Here is a 15,836-nt window from a genome sequence, read left to right on the forward strand (position 1 = left end):
GAAAGCCGCTGATAACATCATAATCAATCGGAAAGCAGAAATAGCCATTCTTCTGGTACCAGGCAAGGATGCCTACTCTTACCACTTCTATTAAACATGTACCAGAAGTACTATCAAAAGCATTTAGAAAAGACACATTCAACTTGGAAATGAAGAAGTAAAATTACCTCTATTTGCAGATGAAATGATTCTACCTGTAAAAAACCCTAATGACTCCACTGAAAAACCATTAACACTAACAAATAAGTTCAATAAAGTTGCAGGATATAAAATCAACATACAAAATCTGTGACATTTCTATACACGAATAACAACCTAGCCAAAAATGAAATCAAGAACACCATTCCATTTATAACATAAATAATACTTGGGAATAAATTTTACTAAGGAGGTGAAAGACCTGTATACCGAAGACAATAAAACATTAATGAAGGAAATTGAAGAAAATGCAAATAAATGAATATCCCATGCTCATGAATTAGAAGAATGTTGTTAAAATGTTCATACTACCTAAAGCAATGAGTAGATTCAATGCAGTCCTTATAAAAACCCCAATGACAGTATTTACAGAAATCAGAAAAAAATCATAAAATTTGTATGGAACCACAGAATATCCCAAATAGTCAAAGGAATTCTGAGAAAAAAAAAGACATCATACTACCTGATTTAAAGTTATATTACAAAGATATAGTAATCGAAAGAGTATAATGGCATAAAACCAGACACCTAGACCAGTGGATGAGAATAGCAATCTCGGAAATAAATCCAAACATATACGTTCAATTAATTTTTGACAAGGGCACCAAAAAGACACACTGGGGAAAGGATAGTCTCTTCAATAAATAGTGCTGGGAAAACTGGATATCCACATGCAAAATTATGAAATCGAACCCTTTTCTTATACCATAACTAAAATTCAAATCAAAATGAAAAAGAAACCTAAATGTAATACCTAAAACCATAAAACTCCTAAAAGAAAATAGAGGGGAAAAGCTGTTTGACATTAACCTTGACAATGACTTCTTAAATATCATACCTAAAAGCTAAGGTTATAAAAGTAAAATGTAAGAGACTATATCAAACGAAAAAGCTTCTGCACAGCAAAGCAAACAAACAAAATGAAAAGGAATCTAAAAAAGGGGGTGAGGGTGAGTGTCAAATATATAGAGGTAGAGAATAAAACAGTGGTTACCAGGGTCTAGGTAGGGACAGGAAATGGGGAGATTCGGGTCTAAGGATACCAAGTAGCCAAATATGCGGGGTTAAGCAGTTGAAAGATCTAGGGTACAATATGAGGACTGTTAAGGACAAAAAGTAGACAAATTTAACAGAGTTTAATTGAGCAAAGAAAGGTTTGAGAATCCAGCAGCCCTCAGAACCAGAAGATGTTGAGAGCAATTCCATGCTGGTCGTTGGTTGGAGAGGATTTATAGACAGAAAAATGACATACAGAAAAATGGATTAAGGTACAGAAACAGCTGCACCGGTTACAGCTTGATGTTTGCCTTACTTGAACACGGTTTGAACAGTTGGCCACCTTTGATTGGCCAGAAGTTGGTGAAACTCCTAGCTATATGTTGCTGTGAATATCAACTCCTGGGTTTGCTTGTACAGGGCCTCTTATCCCTCTGTTTCCATTCCTTGGTAACTACGTGGAAAGAGCTTTGCTTTTGAGACATTTTATCGTTTTGGCTTTCCTCTACCTCAGGAGTGCTACTCCTCATTTCATTTCTGTCACCCTTACTCTGATTGACTGGTAAATATTAGAGAACCTCACATAGCTCAATCCTGGATCTTTATCTATACATTCTTCCTAGGTAATCTTACCCTGCCCTGTGCCTTATTTAAATAGGAACTGTGCACTAATGGCCATCAGACGTTTATCTCTAGCCTCTGCCCCTCTCCTAAAGGCCAGACTGTTATAATTATCTTTTTAATATATCTACTCAAACACCTGATATCACAAACCTAAAATATGCCCCCAAAAGAACTACCAATTTCTAAACCACAAACAAAACCTACTTCTCTCTCATTCTCCCCATTTTACTTAACACTACCACCACTCATCATTTGTTCAAATTTGGATCTAGAAATTATCCTTGATTCTCTTTTTCTTCATCCCGCCTTATATGGTATCCATCAGCAAGTGCCTCCGACATATTTCAGATCTTTTACTTTGCTCCCTTTTCTGACTACCCCAAGGTGCCATCTCATAATAACCATGGCAACAGCCTCTGCCTGACCTGCCCATCCTCGTTCAGCAGAATCCACACTCCACACAATCAATCCAGTGCTATTTTTATTGTAAATCACATCACATCCGTTTTCTGCTCAAAGCCCTCCGATGTCTTCCCATTGCATTTAGTATAAAAGCCACACAACTGACCATGGGTCACAAACCCCTATACGATTGTGGTCCCATAGACCTCTCTGGTCTCCTCCTACTCTTTACTCCCCGTCTCTTGGTGACCTCCCCCATTATGTTATAAAAACACAAGCACTTTTTTTCTATGCTCTAAATATGCCAATACTATTTCACCTTGGAGTCTATTTACTCATTTTTTTTCCCTGCTGGAATTGTCTTCCAATTTCTCTTTCCTTGCCTGGCTTCTCATTTTCGTTAATACATCTGCTTGAGGGCCAGCTCTTTAGAGAATTTCACCTATTCTGAAATAACTACCTAGTAACTCAATGTCACATGCCCACTTTAATCCTTCACATAGTACTGGCCACCATCTGATATGTTTATGTTTGTCTCTTGGTCTCTCTGCTGATGGAGCTCACATGGTGATTTCACTACTGCATTTGCAGTTCCCAGAGCACTCTCAGTGTATTGTAAGTGCTAATAAATATTTCGTTCCCATGGAGGGTAGGAAGTAAGTACATGTCTCATCAGATAATACCTAAAAATCTATCTTCAGGAGTTTCTTCTTTGTAATCGAACTTTAGTTACCTATTAAAAGACATGCACTTCCAGAAATGCAATCTAATAAACTTTGATGAGCTATTATTTAGTAGGAATAATCTGTTGGTCCCTTTTCAATGAGTCAATCCACTATGTAACTTTTTTTTTTTTTGAGATAGAGAAAGGAACAGAACATTGGTAAGTTTGAAACATGGGAAGGAGATTCAACTCTGCCTGAAGAGAACAAAGTAGACTAGAAACAATGGTGTCTCTGCATTGCACCATTGATAACGGAGCATGTATTTCACCAGGATATGAATTAAAGGCTACCAAAGAAAACAAAAAAACAAACTGACTAAAAACACTAGGAGGATGCTGAAGTCAAACTTTCTCTATTTTGTGTCAGGATGGTGAAGAAGTCTACTGTTCAAAACAATAGAAAGACTGGTTTTATTTCTAGCTCCCCTATTGTAACATAATTTAGACCCCTTGATAAAAGGAAGGAATCAGACCAGAATATTGCTGGTGTCCCTTCACCTCCAAATTTATGAGCCTTGTCAGTAGATAATCCTGTCGGTTGAATTGGTGTTAAAATGCTAATATTGTCTGCCTTTACTCCAGATATCAACCAACTGCTTATAAAATTACAGATGTCAAATAATAGAAGAACTTTTGCAGAAAACAATATTGTATCAGTAATTCTACTCTTTATATTTCAGAAATTGAAAGACAGGAAGGTTCAGGAACATGAGAAATACATAGAATATTATTTGGTCCTGGATAATGGTGAGGTAATTATATGAGATAAATGTGCTGTCTTCCAAAACTCCCACCCACATATATTTATTTATTATGTGAGACATTAAATATCTGGATGAGATTTAAAGAATCATGAATATGAGCTATGGTTACATGTTCTTCTAAAACTATGAAATTTGACATTTATAATTAAGCTGATATGACTTCTTTTCAGAGCGATCAGGGCAATTGATATGATATGCATAAATTGTTGGCACTTATAACACTATTTTCTTATTGACTTAAGAGTACCCAACTTAGTTTCCAATTACATTCTTCTGTCATTTTGTCTTTTGTTAAGTTGTTAAATCATTTGTAAATTAAACTTTATTCTCATTAGGGAGTCAATACAAAAGCTTAATTGGTCACAATGAAAGCTTAGTGAATGGAATCCTCTGAAAAGGCAAATCTTTGGTAATAGTCACTGTTTATCTTCTACTGTAAGAATGCATTTTCATATACTGTGTTTTCAAAATTTAAAATGCACATGTGTATGAAAATATAAGTCAACCATTAGCTCAGGCCCTAAAGCTTTGGTCTTACTTACTGTGCTTAATTCATGTACTGTTCATGTATGTGTCTCTTAAATTAATAAGATATTCCTTCTGTTAATTCTGCACACCTTAGAAAACCATAGAATTTAAGTGAAAATACATTTGGAGTAATTCTTTAGAGCTTTATACTGAGCTAGTACTTCAGAAGAGAAAACATCATATTCACTCCCAAAGTGCTTTAATGTAGCTAGATGAATAGGAATTAATTTGATTCTAACTTTTAATTAAATCTAATAACTAATCTTTAATTAAAATCAATAATAAGTAATATAAGAGAAGATGCCTTTTTAACCTTCCAAGTATATTCATTTTTATCAATGCCCATATTCTTTCTTAATTTTTCTTTTAGTTTAAAAGGTACAATGAGAATCAAGATGAGATCAGAAAGAGGGTATTTGAGATGGCTAATTATGTCAACATGGTAAGACATATTTTATTACCTGCAGTTTTAAACAGTTTGCTGGGAGATGTCACTGGGTTTTTCAATGAACGCACATGAAGCATGGAAGCAAAGTCAAGACATTTGAGACCAATGTGGCTGACTGGCTCCCAAAGGATGACCACAACTTTTGCTACATAGGTGAACATGAATATTAATACCACAAACCAACACTTTTCTTATTTACCTGCCACAGTATTCTCAGGTATAAGAAGACATAAAAGCTACATGGGTGCATTGTATTTTCCAAAAATCCGCTAAGAAAATGCTGAAGACCAAATCCCAACAGAAAGCTGGTCCAGAGGGGAAAAAAATAATTTTAAACATACCAAGCACTGTCACAGTAGCATATTTCATAAAATCTCATGTAATACCCAGAACAACGCTAAATGTTACTAAAGCCTAATGCATAGCTAAGGAATCATATTCTCAGAAACAAAGAACTTACCCAAGATCACAAAGTGAGAAAAGAATAGCCATGGGGTTTGAATACAGATTTGTCAGATTTCCAAACCCATTTGAGTCATGCAACTATTGACTATGTTCTTTAGACATGATTGTGTTATCTAATTTCCAAAATATTTAAAAAATGGTTTTACAGTCTTTAAATACTACTTCTTAGTTTTCTGTTTGTTGGATATATAGTTGGCATACTTATTTTGAAATGAATGAGTCTCTTTGTGGTATCCTATAAATGCTCTAAAGATAATTTTTTGTTGTTGTACAACATAATGCTGTAATATACTTCTTTTGATATGCATATACATAGTGAAGTGATTACCACAGTCAATATATATGAAATAAAAAAATAATACATTTCCTTTTTATGCTGATGGGAATTATTTGTGGAGGGCTAAACATTGATAATGCAGGAAAGACAGAAGAATTATTGGAATAATCTTGATTGGGGGAGAAATAAGAGATTTAGTGCATGAGTGGAGAAACTGGCCTTAGACTCAGAGATTGTTCATTTATATAGCAGATGGGGAGGCGCAAGGTGTTTGGACAAGACTAGGTGAGGCGATAAGCCAATGGTGGGAGCTTGTGGACGTTCTCTTCAGATTGCTCTTATAGTCTCAGCGAATGTGGAAGCAAGGACAGTTGTGAAAGTCGGATTCAAAGGAAATGTTAGAATTACTAAGAAGAGGAGCATAAAAAATGTGTGCAGAAAACTGCGTGTGAATGGAATTTGGAAATACAGCAGTTTTGCTGGAACGCGTTAAGGACTGCTTGAGCTTAGTCACAGCTTTAAAGTGAGAGCAATCAGAACAATGTGTTTTCCCCTGTGTTCAAGGGCAGAAGGAAGAGAGATGTAGAGGCAAGTTGCTTTTAACCAGGATTGGAGTTTTGTCAGGTGAGTAAAATTAAGCAAGAAAGGAACAAGGAAGTTGAGGAAATAATCCAGTGAAGGATGATAACATGGCTGGATTTTAACTTCACTTTCAGTAACTGCATTCCTTAATGCTTTTCCTGTTTTCCAAACTACCTTTTTTTTAAAAGAAATATTTAAGTTTCTTAGCAGAAAGTTGCTGGTGAGAATGTCTGTCACTGTGCACTTTTAGAAACTATAGTAGTAATTTAAGCTTTTATCTTTAGAGTAAGCATATTGTTTCATAAGTTTAAGTCATTATTTCTAAAGTTTATCCTATATGCATTGTGGATTATTTGGTTCAATCCATGTTTAAGATTAGAGGACCATTGTCTCATTCTGAAAATACATAATATGGGTGGCTCATAAATGACAGCAATTTATTGCTCACAGTTCTGGGGGCTTGGAAGTCCAAATCAAGTTCCATCAAGATTTGGTTTCTGGTGAAGATTGTCTTCCTGGCTTGGAGACAGCTGCCTTCTCACTGTGCCTTTATATGGTAGAAAGAACAAAGCAATTCTCTGGGGATCTCTTTAAGGGCACTAATCTCATTCATGAGGGCTCCACTCTCGTGACCTAATCACCTCCCAAAGGCCCCACCTCCTAACACCACCACCTTGGGAGTTAGGATTTCAACACATGAATTTTGGGGGACACAAACATTCAAACTATAGCGACTACTTAGCTTATTGTAAATGCATCAATGTACAACATTTCATCATATCAAGTTACTTCTTTCATGCCTAAACCAGCACCAAGCCAACTTTGCTAATTCTGAAATATTCTCACTCTGAGAGCACTGAAAAACATATAAGCAATTGAAGCCATAGTAATGGGCCACTGACACAAAATTATAGTATTTCTTAAGAGCATAAACAGGAATATGTTGTCTTAACAGGGCCTTTTCTCCTCCCTACCACCCCCCACCCAAAAAAGAAGTTTACGGACCTAAACTATCTTAGTGTATTTATCTTTTGTTTTGAATGGGAGTTTTAGTGTCTACAAAATAGTCAATACATTCTGTTTCACAAATATGCTTGGAAATAAGGTTTTTATACTGCTGTGATGAATGTTTAAAAATACAAAATATATTGAAAATGTTTAAAATGATATCACCATTATAATTAATTGCTTTGCCATTTATTTTCTTTGGACAGCTTTATAAAAAGCTCAATACTCATGTGGCCTTAGTTGGTATGGAAATCTGGACTGACAAGGATAAGATAAAGATAACCCCAAATGCAAGCTTCACCTTGGAGAATTTTTCTAAATGGAGGGGGAGTGTTCTCTCAAGAAGAAAGCGTCATGATATTGCTCAGTTAATCACGTATGTACAGATTTTCTCCCATTGCACACTATGTGGTATTTAGTGGATGCTTTTCTGAGCCTTGGCAAAGTGAGGGGTGCACATAGAGGGGTAGACATTTATAGAGCACTTACTTGGATTATATGTCAAATATGCTCTTATTTTGGATCCAAGTATTTTTTTTAAAAAAAGAGAGGGTCAATAATTTGGCAATAATTTATAAAATGTTTGTTTTTATTGGGTATACAAGAAGAAAAGACAAGTTTATATAATGGAAAGAGAGTTTTTGATTCAGTGTTTAAAAAAACAACTGATTGGCTTTAGGCTCAAGTTAGAAGAAACATCTAAGATATTATTAGAAAAATTAAGTATTATATTCTAACTCCACATCTTCACTAATTTATTTCCCACTGAAATGACCTGTTAAGAACAACAGGGGAAATAAATCTGATGGCTGTAAATTATATGAGACTGGAGCATGTGCCTCAAAACATTCAAGAAAATGCTGCTGGGTAGATGGATAATATTTAGTTGAAATCAGATAGAAGGAAGCAGTAAGGATTGACTTGAAGTTACTGGAGAGGCTATTACCTAAGAAAACCATGAATTTCATGGAAATCAGTGAACTATGTCCTGCCAGAATTAGTTAATGTTTCTGTGCTGGTCATCTGTTAACTGCATAACAAATGAGCTTGAATTTCTGGGCTTGAAATAAGGCTTCTTCACTTACATAATTGGTGTGTGGGCTCATCTGGCTGGAACAGTGAGTCTGGTTGGTCATGTTTCTGTCTATATCCCCTTTCATGTGCCTAACTTGAGTTTCCTTCAATATGGCTATCTTAGAGTAGGTGGACTTCTTACTAGGTGTCTAGCTTTTCTCAGAATAAGCATTTCAAGAGGCATGAGATAATGCATCAAGGTTTTTTATGACCTAACTACAAAAGTCACAGGGTGTCACTACTGGTATATTATCTTAATCAAGGGGAAGTTGTAGGGCCAGTCCAGATTCAAGGGGAAGGCACTACTCAGGCTGAGAATACTGCAAGGCTGGTTCATTGAGGGGGTCACCTTTGGGAAGCAGCCGACACAATTTCTTAATTTGGAAAGGTGAGTTTTAGACTCGAGAGCCCATTCTTTGTGGAGGAGTTTAGTGGTTTTCTAAGGTCTCATAGCTGGTAAGTAATAAGGGAGCCAGACAAATTGCTGAATACTCCATCACTGTAAGTAATAACGTAGAAGCTTAAAAATAATAGACGAGATGATAAATGTATAGGTAAAAATAAATGACGATACAATGTCAAGAATAGATTCCTTGAAGAGATCAGAATAAAGATACGATGAAAGGAAATAGTTGTTCTTCCAGTTATGCAATTAATGTCTTACCATTTACCAAACAAGTTAACAAAAGAGACCTATACTTAGGTATAAGTAGGTTAAAAAAATTAGAGTCCGAATATACTGTTTACTTAAAAGATAAACCAAAATATATAACTCCAAAATGAACGAAATGTTATTTTTTGCAAATGAGCAAGTGGGGAGAACTGAAACCACAAAAATGTAGAATGAAGTATAAATAACTTTGTGATATAATTTTAAAAGAGAACAGGTATCATAAACCTTTTAAGTATGCATAATGTAAAATATATTTTCAAAATAAATATCTGAAATCAGATTAAATAGATAAAATCTGCAGGGAATGAAAAATTGGAACGTTTTCTAATTTTCTCATTTTATACAGCAGAATTAAAACTCTCTATTTTTAGTATTGTTTTATGGTAAAATACAGGTTCAATTTCCCACGTAAGTGCATCTACTAAGGAAATTAAAAACTTGATGCAATTTGGCAAATTTCTAGAGACAATTAAGGGCCAGGATCTTGTACAGATAGCAAAAAAAAAAAAAAAAAAAAAAAAAAAAACCAAAAAACAAAAACTAAAAGGAAAGAGTATGAAATTATTGAAGGTTTATAGAAAAATCAAAAGGAACCAAAAAAGCAAAATTAAAATTACCAAAGACAAAACATATTATCTATGGAAGTATAAGTGCAAATGATTCAAACCCCTCTCCAGTATAAAACTTATTTGAATAATATAAATGATCACTAATACAAATGCTTTCAAAATGGGCCCAATCCCTAAACCTACTGTAGCTAAAACAATGCTAATGTAAAACAAAAGTATGTGATATAAAAATATGAGTAAGATATAAATAAAAACAAAGCCTGTGTGGTACTGCTAATATCAAAACAAGATACATGTAGACAGATGTTTATTAAGACCAAAAATAGCCTTTCTTTTTCTTCACAAGGGATACATCTCACAATGAAAAGTGTTATAATCAGAAATGATAGAAAATATTCAACATAATTCTATCTAGGTGTTTGGATTTTAAGTAACACAAAAGCCATTCTATAGAAAAATGCCTTATGCAAATTCAAAAACTAAAGAAAAATATGACAGTGATGGTTCACAGTGAGTTTTTCTGCTAACCATTTAGGGTTTTGGATGTATTGTCTATAAAAATAGAGCTTAGCATTATAATTTGTTACATCAATTTATTCCTTTCTTGCAGAGCAACAGAACTTGCTGGAACGACTGTGGGTCTTGCATTTATGTCTACAATGTGTTCTCCTTATTCTGTTGGCGTTGTTCAGGTCTGTATGATGATAAACTGTTGGTTCTATGATTTACATTTATCAAATGCTTTTTAAAAAATCTATAGAGAAGATCATGATAGTTTTTCTCTGTAGTCTGTTGACATGGTAAATAACACTGATTGAATTTCAAATGTTGAACTAATTTTGCATTCCAGTGTAAACTCAACATATTGATAATGCATTATCTTTTTAATATATTGTTTAGCATGAAGTTTTTAGCTACAAACTCTCAATAAACTAGGTATTGAAGGAACATATCTCAAAATAATAGCTATTTATGATAAACTGACAGCCAATATCATACTTAATGGGCAAAAGCTAGAAGCATTCCTTTTGAAAGACAGCACAAGACAAGGATGCCCTTTCTCACCACTCCTATTTAACATAGTATTGGAAGTTCTGGCCAGGGCAATCAGGCAAGAGAAAGAAATAAAGCGTATTCAAATAGAAAGAGAGGAAGTCAAATTGTGTCTGTTTGCAGATGACATGATTGTATAATTAGAAAACCCCATCGTATCAGCCAAAAATATCCTTAAGCTGGTAAGCAACTCCAGCAGTCTCAGGATACACAGTCAATGTGCAAAAATCACAAGCATTCGTATACACCAATAACAGACAGAGAGCCAAATCATGAGTGAACTCCCATTCACAATTACTACAAACAGAATAAATACCTAGGAATACAATTTACAAGGGATATGAAGGACCTCTTCAAGGAGAACTACAAACCACTGCTCAAGGAAGTAAGAAAGGACACTAACAAATGGAAAAATATTCCATGCTCATGGATAGGAAGAATCAATATCATGGAAATGGCCATACTGCCCAACATAATTTATAGATTCAGTGCTATACCCATCATACAATTGACTTTCTTCACAGAATTGGAAAAAACTATTTTAAATTTCATATGGAACCAAAAAAGAGCCTGCATAGCAAAGACAATCCTAAGAAAAAAGAACAAAGCTGGAGGCATCACACTGCCTGACTTCAAACTATACTACAAGGCTACAGTAAGCAAAACAGCAGGGTACTGGGACCAAAACAGATATATAGACCAATGGAACAGAACAGAGGCCTCAGAAATAATACTACACATCTACAACCATCTGATCTTTGACAAACCTGACAAAAACAAGCAATGGGGAAAGGATTCTCTATTTAATAAATGGTGTTGGGAAAAATGTACAGATTTTTTAAGAGTATGCCTCTAACTCTTTCTTCCCATCTATTGTGCTATTATTATCATATGTTTAACTTTATATCACCATAAATACACAATACATTGTTATTAATTTTGTTTTAGATATCCATCTTTCATTGCAATTTAAAATTAAATTAGTTTTCATTTGTACAACAAACCCCCATGACACAGTTTACGTAAGTAACAATCCTGCACTTGTACCTGTGAACTTAAAATAGAAGTTAAAAAAGTTTTATATTTACCATCACTTCATTGCATTTCCAGCACTCTTTACTTCTCTATAAAAATCCTAATTTCTATCTAGTATATATTTTTTCCTTTCAAGGGAATTTTTTAAAACATTCCTTATAATACAGTAAATTCTTTCAGTTTTGTTTGTCTAAGAAAGGCGATCTTACTTTCATTTTGAATATATTTTCACAGACTTTTTGGATGTCCTGTAACCCCAACTTATTGGTGGATTCAAGGGAAGTTATAGTTGTCTACCTGCCTTGTCCTTGTTAGTGTAAGAATAATGTTCTTTCCAGCTTTCTACATCCTAGATAGAAATGGAATTAACATATTTTTTAGTTACTATCTTTTGAGTCTGGGTTTGTGATAGGCTTCATGGATGTACAGAAGAAGTAAAATACATATTTTCAAACTTGAAATAGCTTGCCATAAAATTGGAAGAGAAACTGGCCTACCTAAAGCAATAGTTCTAACATATAGTAGGTAGCTTAATGCTACTTTACGGAAGTAAAAACCATTCTAGGAATTCATAACAGATGATCGTTGATGAATATTAACATAGTCAGGAAAAGTTGCATTAAGATGGACCTCAGCCTGTAATCCCAGCACTTTCGAAGGCCAAGGCAGGTGGATCACCTGAGGTCAGGAGTTCAAGACCAGCCTGGCCAACATGGTTAAACCCTACCTCTACTGAAAATACAAAAAAATTAGTTGGACGTAGTGGCTGGTGCCTGTAATTCTAGCTACTGAGGCAAGAGAATCACTTGAACCCAGGAGGCGGAGGTTGCAGTGAGCAGAGATGGCACCATTACACTCCAGTTTGGGCAACAAGAGTGAGACACAGTCTCAAAAAAAAAAAATGGACCTCAAAGGGTAGGTAGGATTTAGAGTGGGGCAAGACAGAATGGAGGTCATTCGAGGGCAAAAATCATTCAAGTTAGGAAAACCATTATTTAAAGAAAGAAACCATAAACTGAAAGGAACTTCATATAGGCCTCTAAACACATTTTAATTTTTCTGGGGCTTTTTGGCTTGCATTTTTCCCCATTTGGAGCACTCCATATTTCTATATAGGAGGTTTTACCATGTTCATCTCAAAAGAATGAAAGAATATAGTGTGTCTAGGTATCAACTTCCCAACTTACACAGCTGTTCCTTGTTTGCCACTCTTGTACTGTTCTTCATCAAACTTTACATTTAGTTCTTTGAGATGAAGTAGATAAGAGAATCAGACTTCTGTAGGTGGATGTTACTGGCAGATTCTTATCTCCTCAATAGGACATTTTAACCTGCAACGATTCTCCTGCATTGTTTTATTGCTCCTGGATAATTTATAGCTGCAAGCTCTAATTTATCTGCAAGCTTGGAGTTGAGTCCAAGCACCTCAGACCAGAAACAGTCTGGTGATCAAGTTGGCTATAGGCTGGATTTCATGCAATGGGCAAGTTTTTAATTGACTGATGTCTGTCTACTCTTGGCAATTATGGAATTGAGAAAGATACAAGTAGAGCTAAAGTGCTAGGCTGATGAACAATTTTAGATCCCTGATGGCCAAATGCATCATAGACTTCTAAAAGGCAAGCCAAATGTAAGGGAGATAGATCACTTAAAAAAAAGTTCTGATTTCTTATTGTTGATGAAAATTTGCCATCTTTCTTGGAAAGAAAACTAGAACAATTTCCTTCATTATAGGAACCTACTCAAAGAGGAAAGGGCAGACCATATATGCTGTGATGGGCATTCAGTTCCATTTAGTACTCTCTCTCTCTTGCTCTGTGTGTGTGTGTGTGTGTGTTTGTGTGTGTGTGTGTGTGAGAGAGAGAGAGAGAGAGAGAGAGAGAGATGGCAAGTAGAGTGATGTATAATTTCATTCGAAAATCAGAGAATCTTTTTCTTCTTTCATACCTTTAGGACCACAGCGATAATCTTCTTAGAGTTGCAGGGACAATGGCACATGAAATGGGCCACAACTTTGGAATGTTTCATGACGACTATTCTTGCAAGTGTCCTTCTACAATATGTGTGATGGACAAAGCACTGAGGTGAGGCTCTCTGGGCCCTGGGGACATGCTATGTAGCCCTGGTTTTGATCCACTGTGGGCTGTACTACTTTAGGTCATCTTCAACAACGTGTTCGAGTTTTTGAGTCACTAAATGTGCATTTGTGCCAAGCCACCTCATCTATGGGTAATATTTTTTAATAACTAAGACATAATTTAAACATATTGTCTCTTTGCTGATGGGGCAATTCATCATTTTATCCTCATCTTATCTATACAAGACCTGGCTTCAGAAAAATCGTTAGCATTTATCAGGTTTTCCATGAATTCAGCATAGATGGTGGTCAGAAAAGAGTTCTAGAATAAAACTCTAATTAAAGAAGAAACTACTCATAGGACAAAGAAGACAGTCTATGAAAAGACATCACACATTCCCTCCCTGAATTAGGCAAAATTTTTAGGCAATCTTATCTTTAAAAATCTCACAATCTTTTTTAAATATTCATGTCCTCTTTTCTATACATACAGCTCACTCTATAAACTCTATTTCCTCTTTTCTATTTTCATTTCCTCCCTCAGCCCACTGAAGCTAGGGTTATTCTCCAAAGCCCCTGTACAAAACAGCATATGGCTGCATGCCAGTTACAGAGCTTATGTTAACTCTCCCCTCTATTACAGCAGTTTTAAACCTCATCTTTATCTGTAGGATGAAGAGATCCTATCAATAGGAATTCCTCTAAAGGAAAGTGAATTCTGAGACATGTAAATAAATATTTTGGTACCTTTAGGTCTTTACATCTCCCAGATGATCTAAGATTATCTGGAGAAGTCAGAGACATATTTGTTTTATTAAAAGTGGCCTGGATGCTACACATTGAAATATGACTATATTTTCTCATGAAGTTGGAGGTGGGTTAATTCGGGCATGCAAATGAGCTCACGATCTGGCAGTTGGTCAGTGGATTGGATTTTGTCTTTTGGGGCAGGCCGTGGGTGTAATTGTGCCTAATGTCAGATACTGCTTCGCACATGTTAAGCATGACTATATTCCAGTTTTTCTTTCCTTATCTTCACAGCTTCTATATACCCACAGACTTCAGTTCCTGCAGCCGTCTCAGCTATGACAAGTTTTTTGAAGATAAATTATCAAATTGCCTCTTTAATGCTCCATTGCCTACAGATATCATATCCACTCCAATTTGTGGGAACCAGTTGGTGGAAATGGGAGAGGACTGTGATTGTGGGACATCTGAGGTATGGCCAATCACTTTCTAAAACGATCTAGTTGGTTTTTCAGTTGCTAAGAAGATCAACTACAAAATAATGTGTGGCCCGCTATAACATTATAGGTTTTTTGGGTAATTTTGGGTACGCCCATTTGTAGGTATTTTCCAGGAAAATCTTTCTGACAAGGAACCCTGCACTTCTGAACAGACCTTGCTAATTTCTCCCCCAGGTTTCCAACCTCATTCCTTTTTTTAAGGACTATTTACTAACTTGGGCCTTGTGTCCTCGTCCCTCCCTTTCTAAGTGAAATACTTGAAGCTCCTTACGTGACTATGACTTACCCAGTATTACTTTAGACAGAGCACTATGAGTGCCCAGAGTACAAATAGCTTGCTGGTTCAAGGTCACTGGGCTGGCAAATGGAGGAGCCAAGAACTGGATTCAAATGTATCTGTTTCCAGCTCTGAAACGCAAGACCACCCAGCACAGGGATCTGGTTCATCCCTTACTGCTTTGGGACTCGGGAGTTATTACCATCAGAAGTTCTGTCCTGACCCTCTTCACAGGGCAGCTGGGATTTTGAATGGGACCTCTGCTTCCATGTTATTGATGCTTAATATAAATAATGCATCAAGCCTTCAGAGTACTGGCTTTCAGTAACTTTGAAATATGATTATATATTTGATTATGTATTTATTTGCTCTATGAGAAAAAGTAGTCTGTCCTGGTTGATGATTATATTTGAACTAAGGGCTAGAGTTTTAACCCTAAAATATTGTAACCCTGAAACTCTCAGTCTTCTATGGGAATCTAGACAGCTGCAGGGGAACACTTTTGAGGTAAGAGTTTCTCCAATACCTTTTGCAGGCAGGATTCTGACACAAAGCAGAGAGACTAAGACAAAGTATTTGCTTCAAGCACAGTTGAATTAAATATTAAAGTTAGATAAAGAGCTGTATCTTTAGCTTTTCAGTGGATATCCTAGAAATTGGATTTACTGCTAGATATGTACATAACTGATGAGTTGAAGGAATTATATTCTATAATTAGACAAATCTTATTTCAAGAACTGTGTTTTTTCTTCATATTTTACCAAAAAGAATAGATCTTTCCTTAATATTATTGGAGACTGAGGAAACTAGTTAAT

The 15,836-nt window shown here is 35.6% G+C and overlaps 1 protein-coding gene and 1 long non-coding RNA gene across 21 annotated transcripts in view; one reads left to right on the plus strand and one right to left on the minus strand.

The window, feature by feature from the left end:
• ADAM28 (ADAM metallopeptidase domain 28) overlaps nt 1–15,836 on the plus strand; it is a 64,946-nt gene that overhangs the window by 22,543 nt on the left and 26,567 nt on the right. For 17 of the 20 annotated variants that reach the window (NR_130709.2, XM_005273380.5, XM_017012974.3 and 14 more), the window contains 6 exons: nt 3,625–3,696; nt 4,607–4,678; nt 7,223–7,392; nt 9,943–10,024; nt 13,374–13,504; nt 14,539–14,716. Coding sequence is in view for 18 of the 20 variants with exons in the window: in XM_005273380.5 (XP_005273437.1) it covers nt 3,625–3,696; nt 4,607–4,678; nt 7,223–7,392; nt 9,943–10,024; nt 13,374–13,504; nt 14,539–14,716 (705 nt within the window). In the remaining 2 variants the exon portion in view is untranslated. Of the gene's footprint in view, nt 1–3,624; nt 3,697–4,606; nt 4,679–4,703; nt 4,838–6,002; nt 6,051–7,222; nt 7,393–8,363; nt 8,479–9,942; nt 10,025–13,373; nt 13,505–14,538; nt 14,717–15,836 lie in introns of those variants that run through there. The other 3 variants (NR_130710.2, XM_011544371.4, XM_047421274.1) reach the window with 3 other exon arrangements.
• Nucleotides 1–15,836, minus strand: part of ADAM7-AS1 (ADAM7, ADAMDEC1 and ADAM28 antisense RNA 1) — a 252,805-nt gene that overhangs the window by 20,798 nt on the left and 216,171 nt on the right. The window lies entirely within an intron of this gene.

This window comes from Homo sapiens, chromosome 8 (assembly GCF_000001405.40).
Source record: "Homo sapiens chromosome 8, GRCh38.p14 Primary Assembly".
Taxonomy (NCBI): domain Eukaryota; kingdom Metazoa; phylum Chordata; class Mammalia; order Primates; family Hominidae; genus Homo; species Homo sapiens.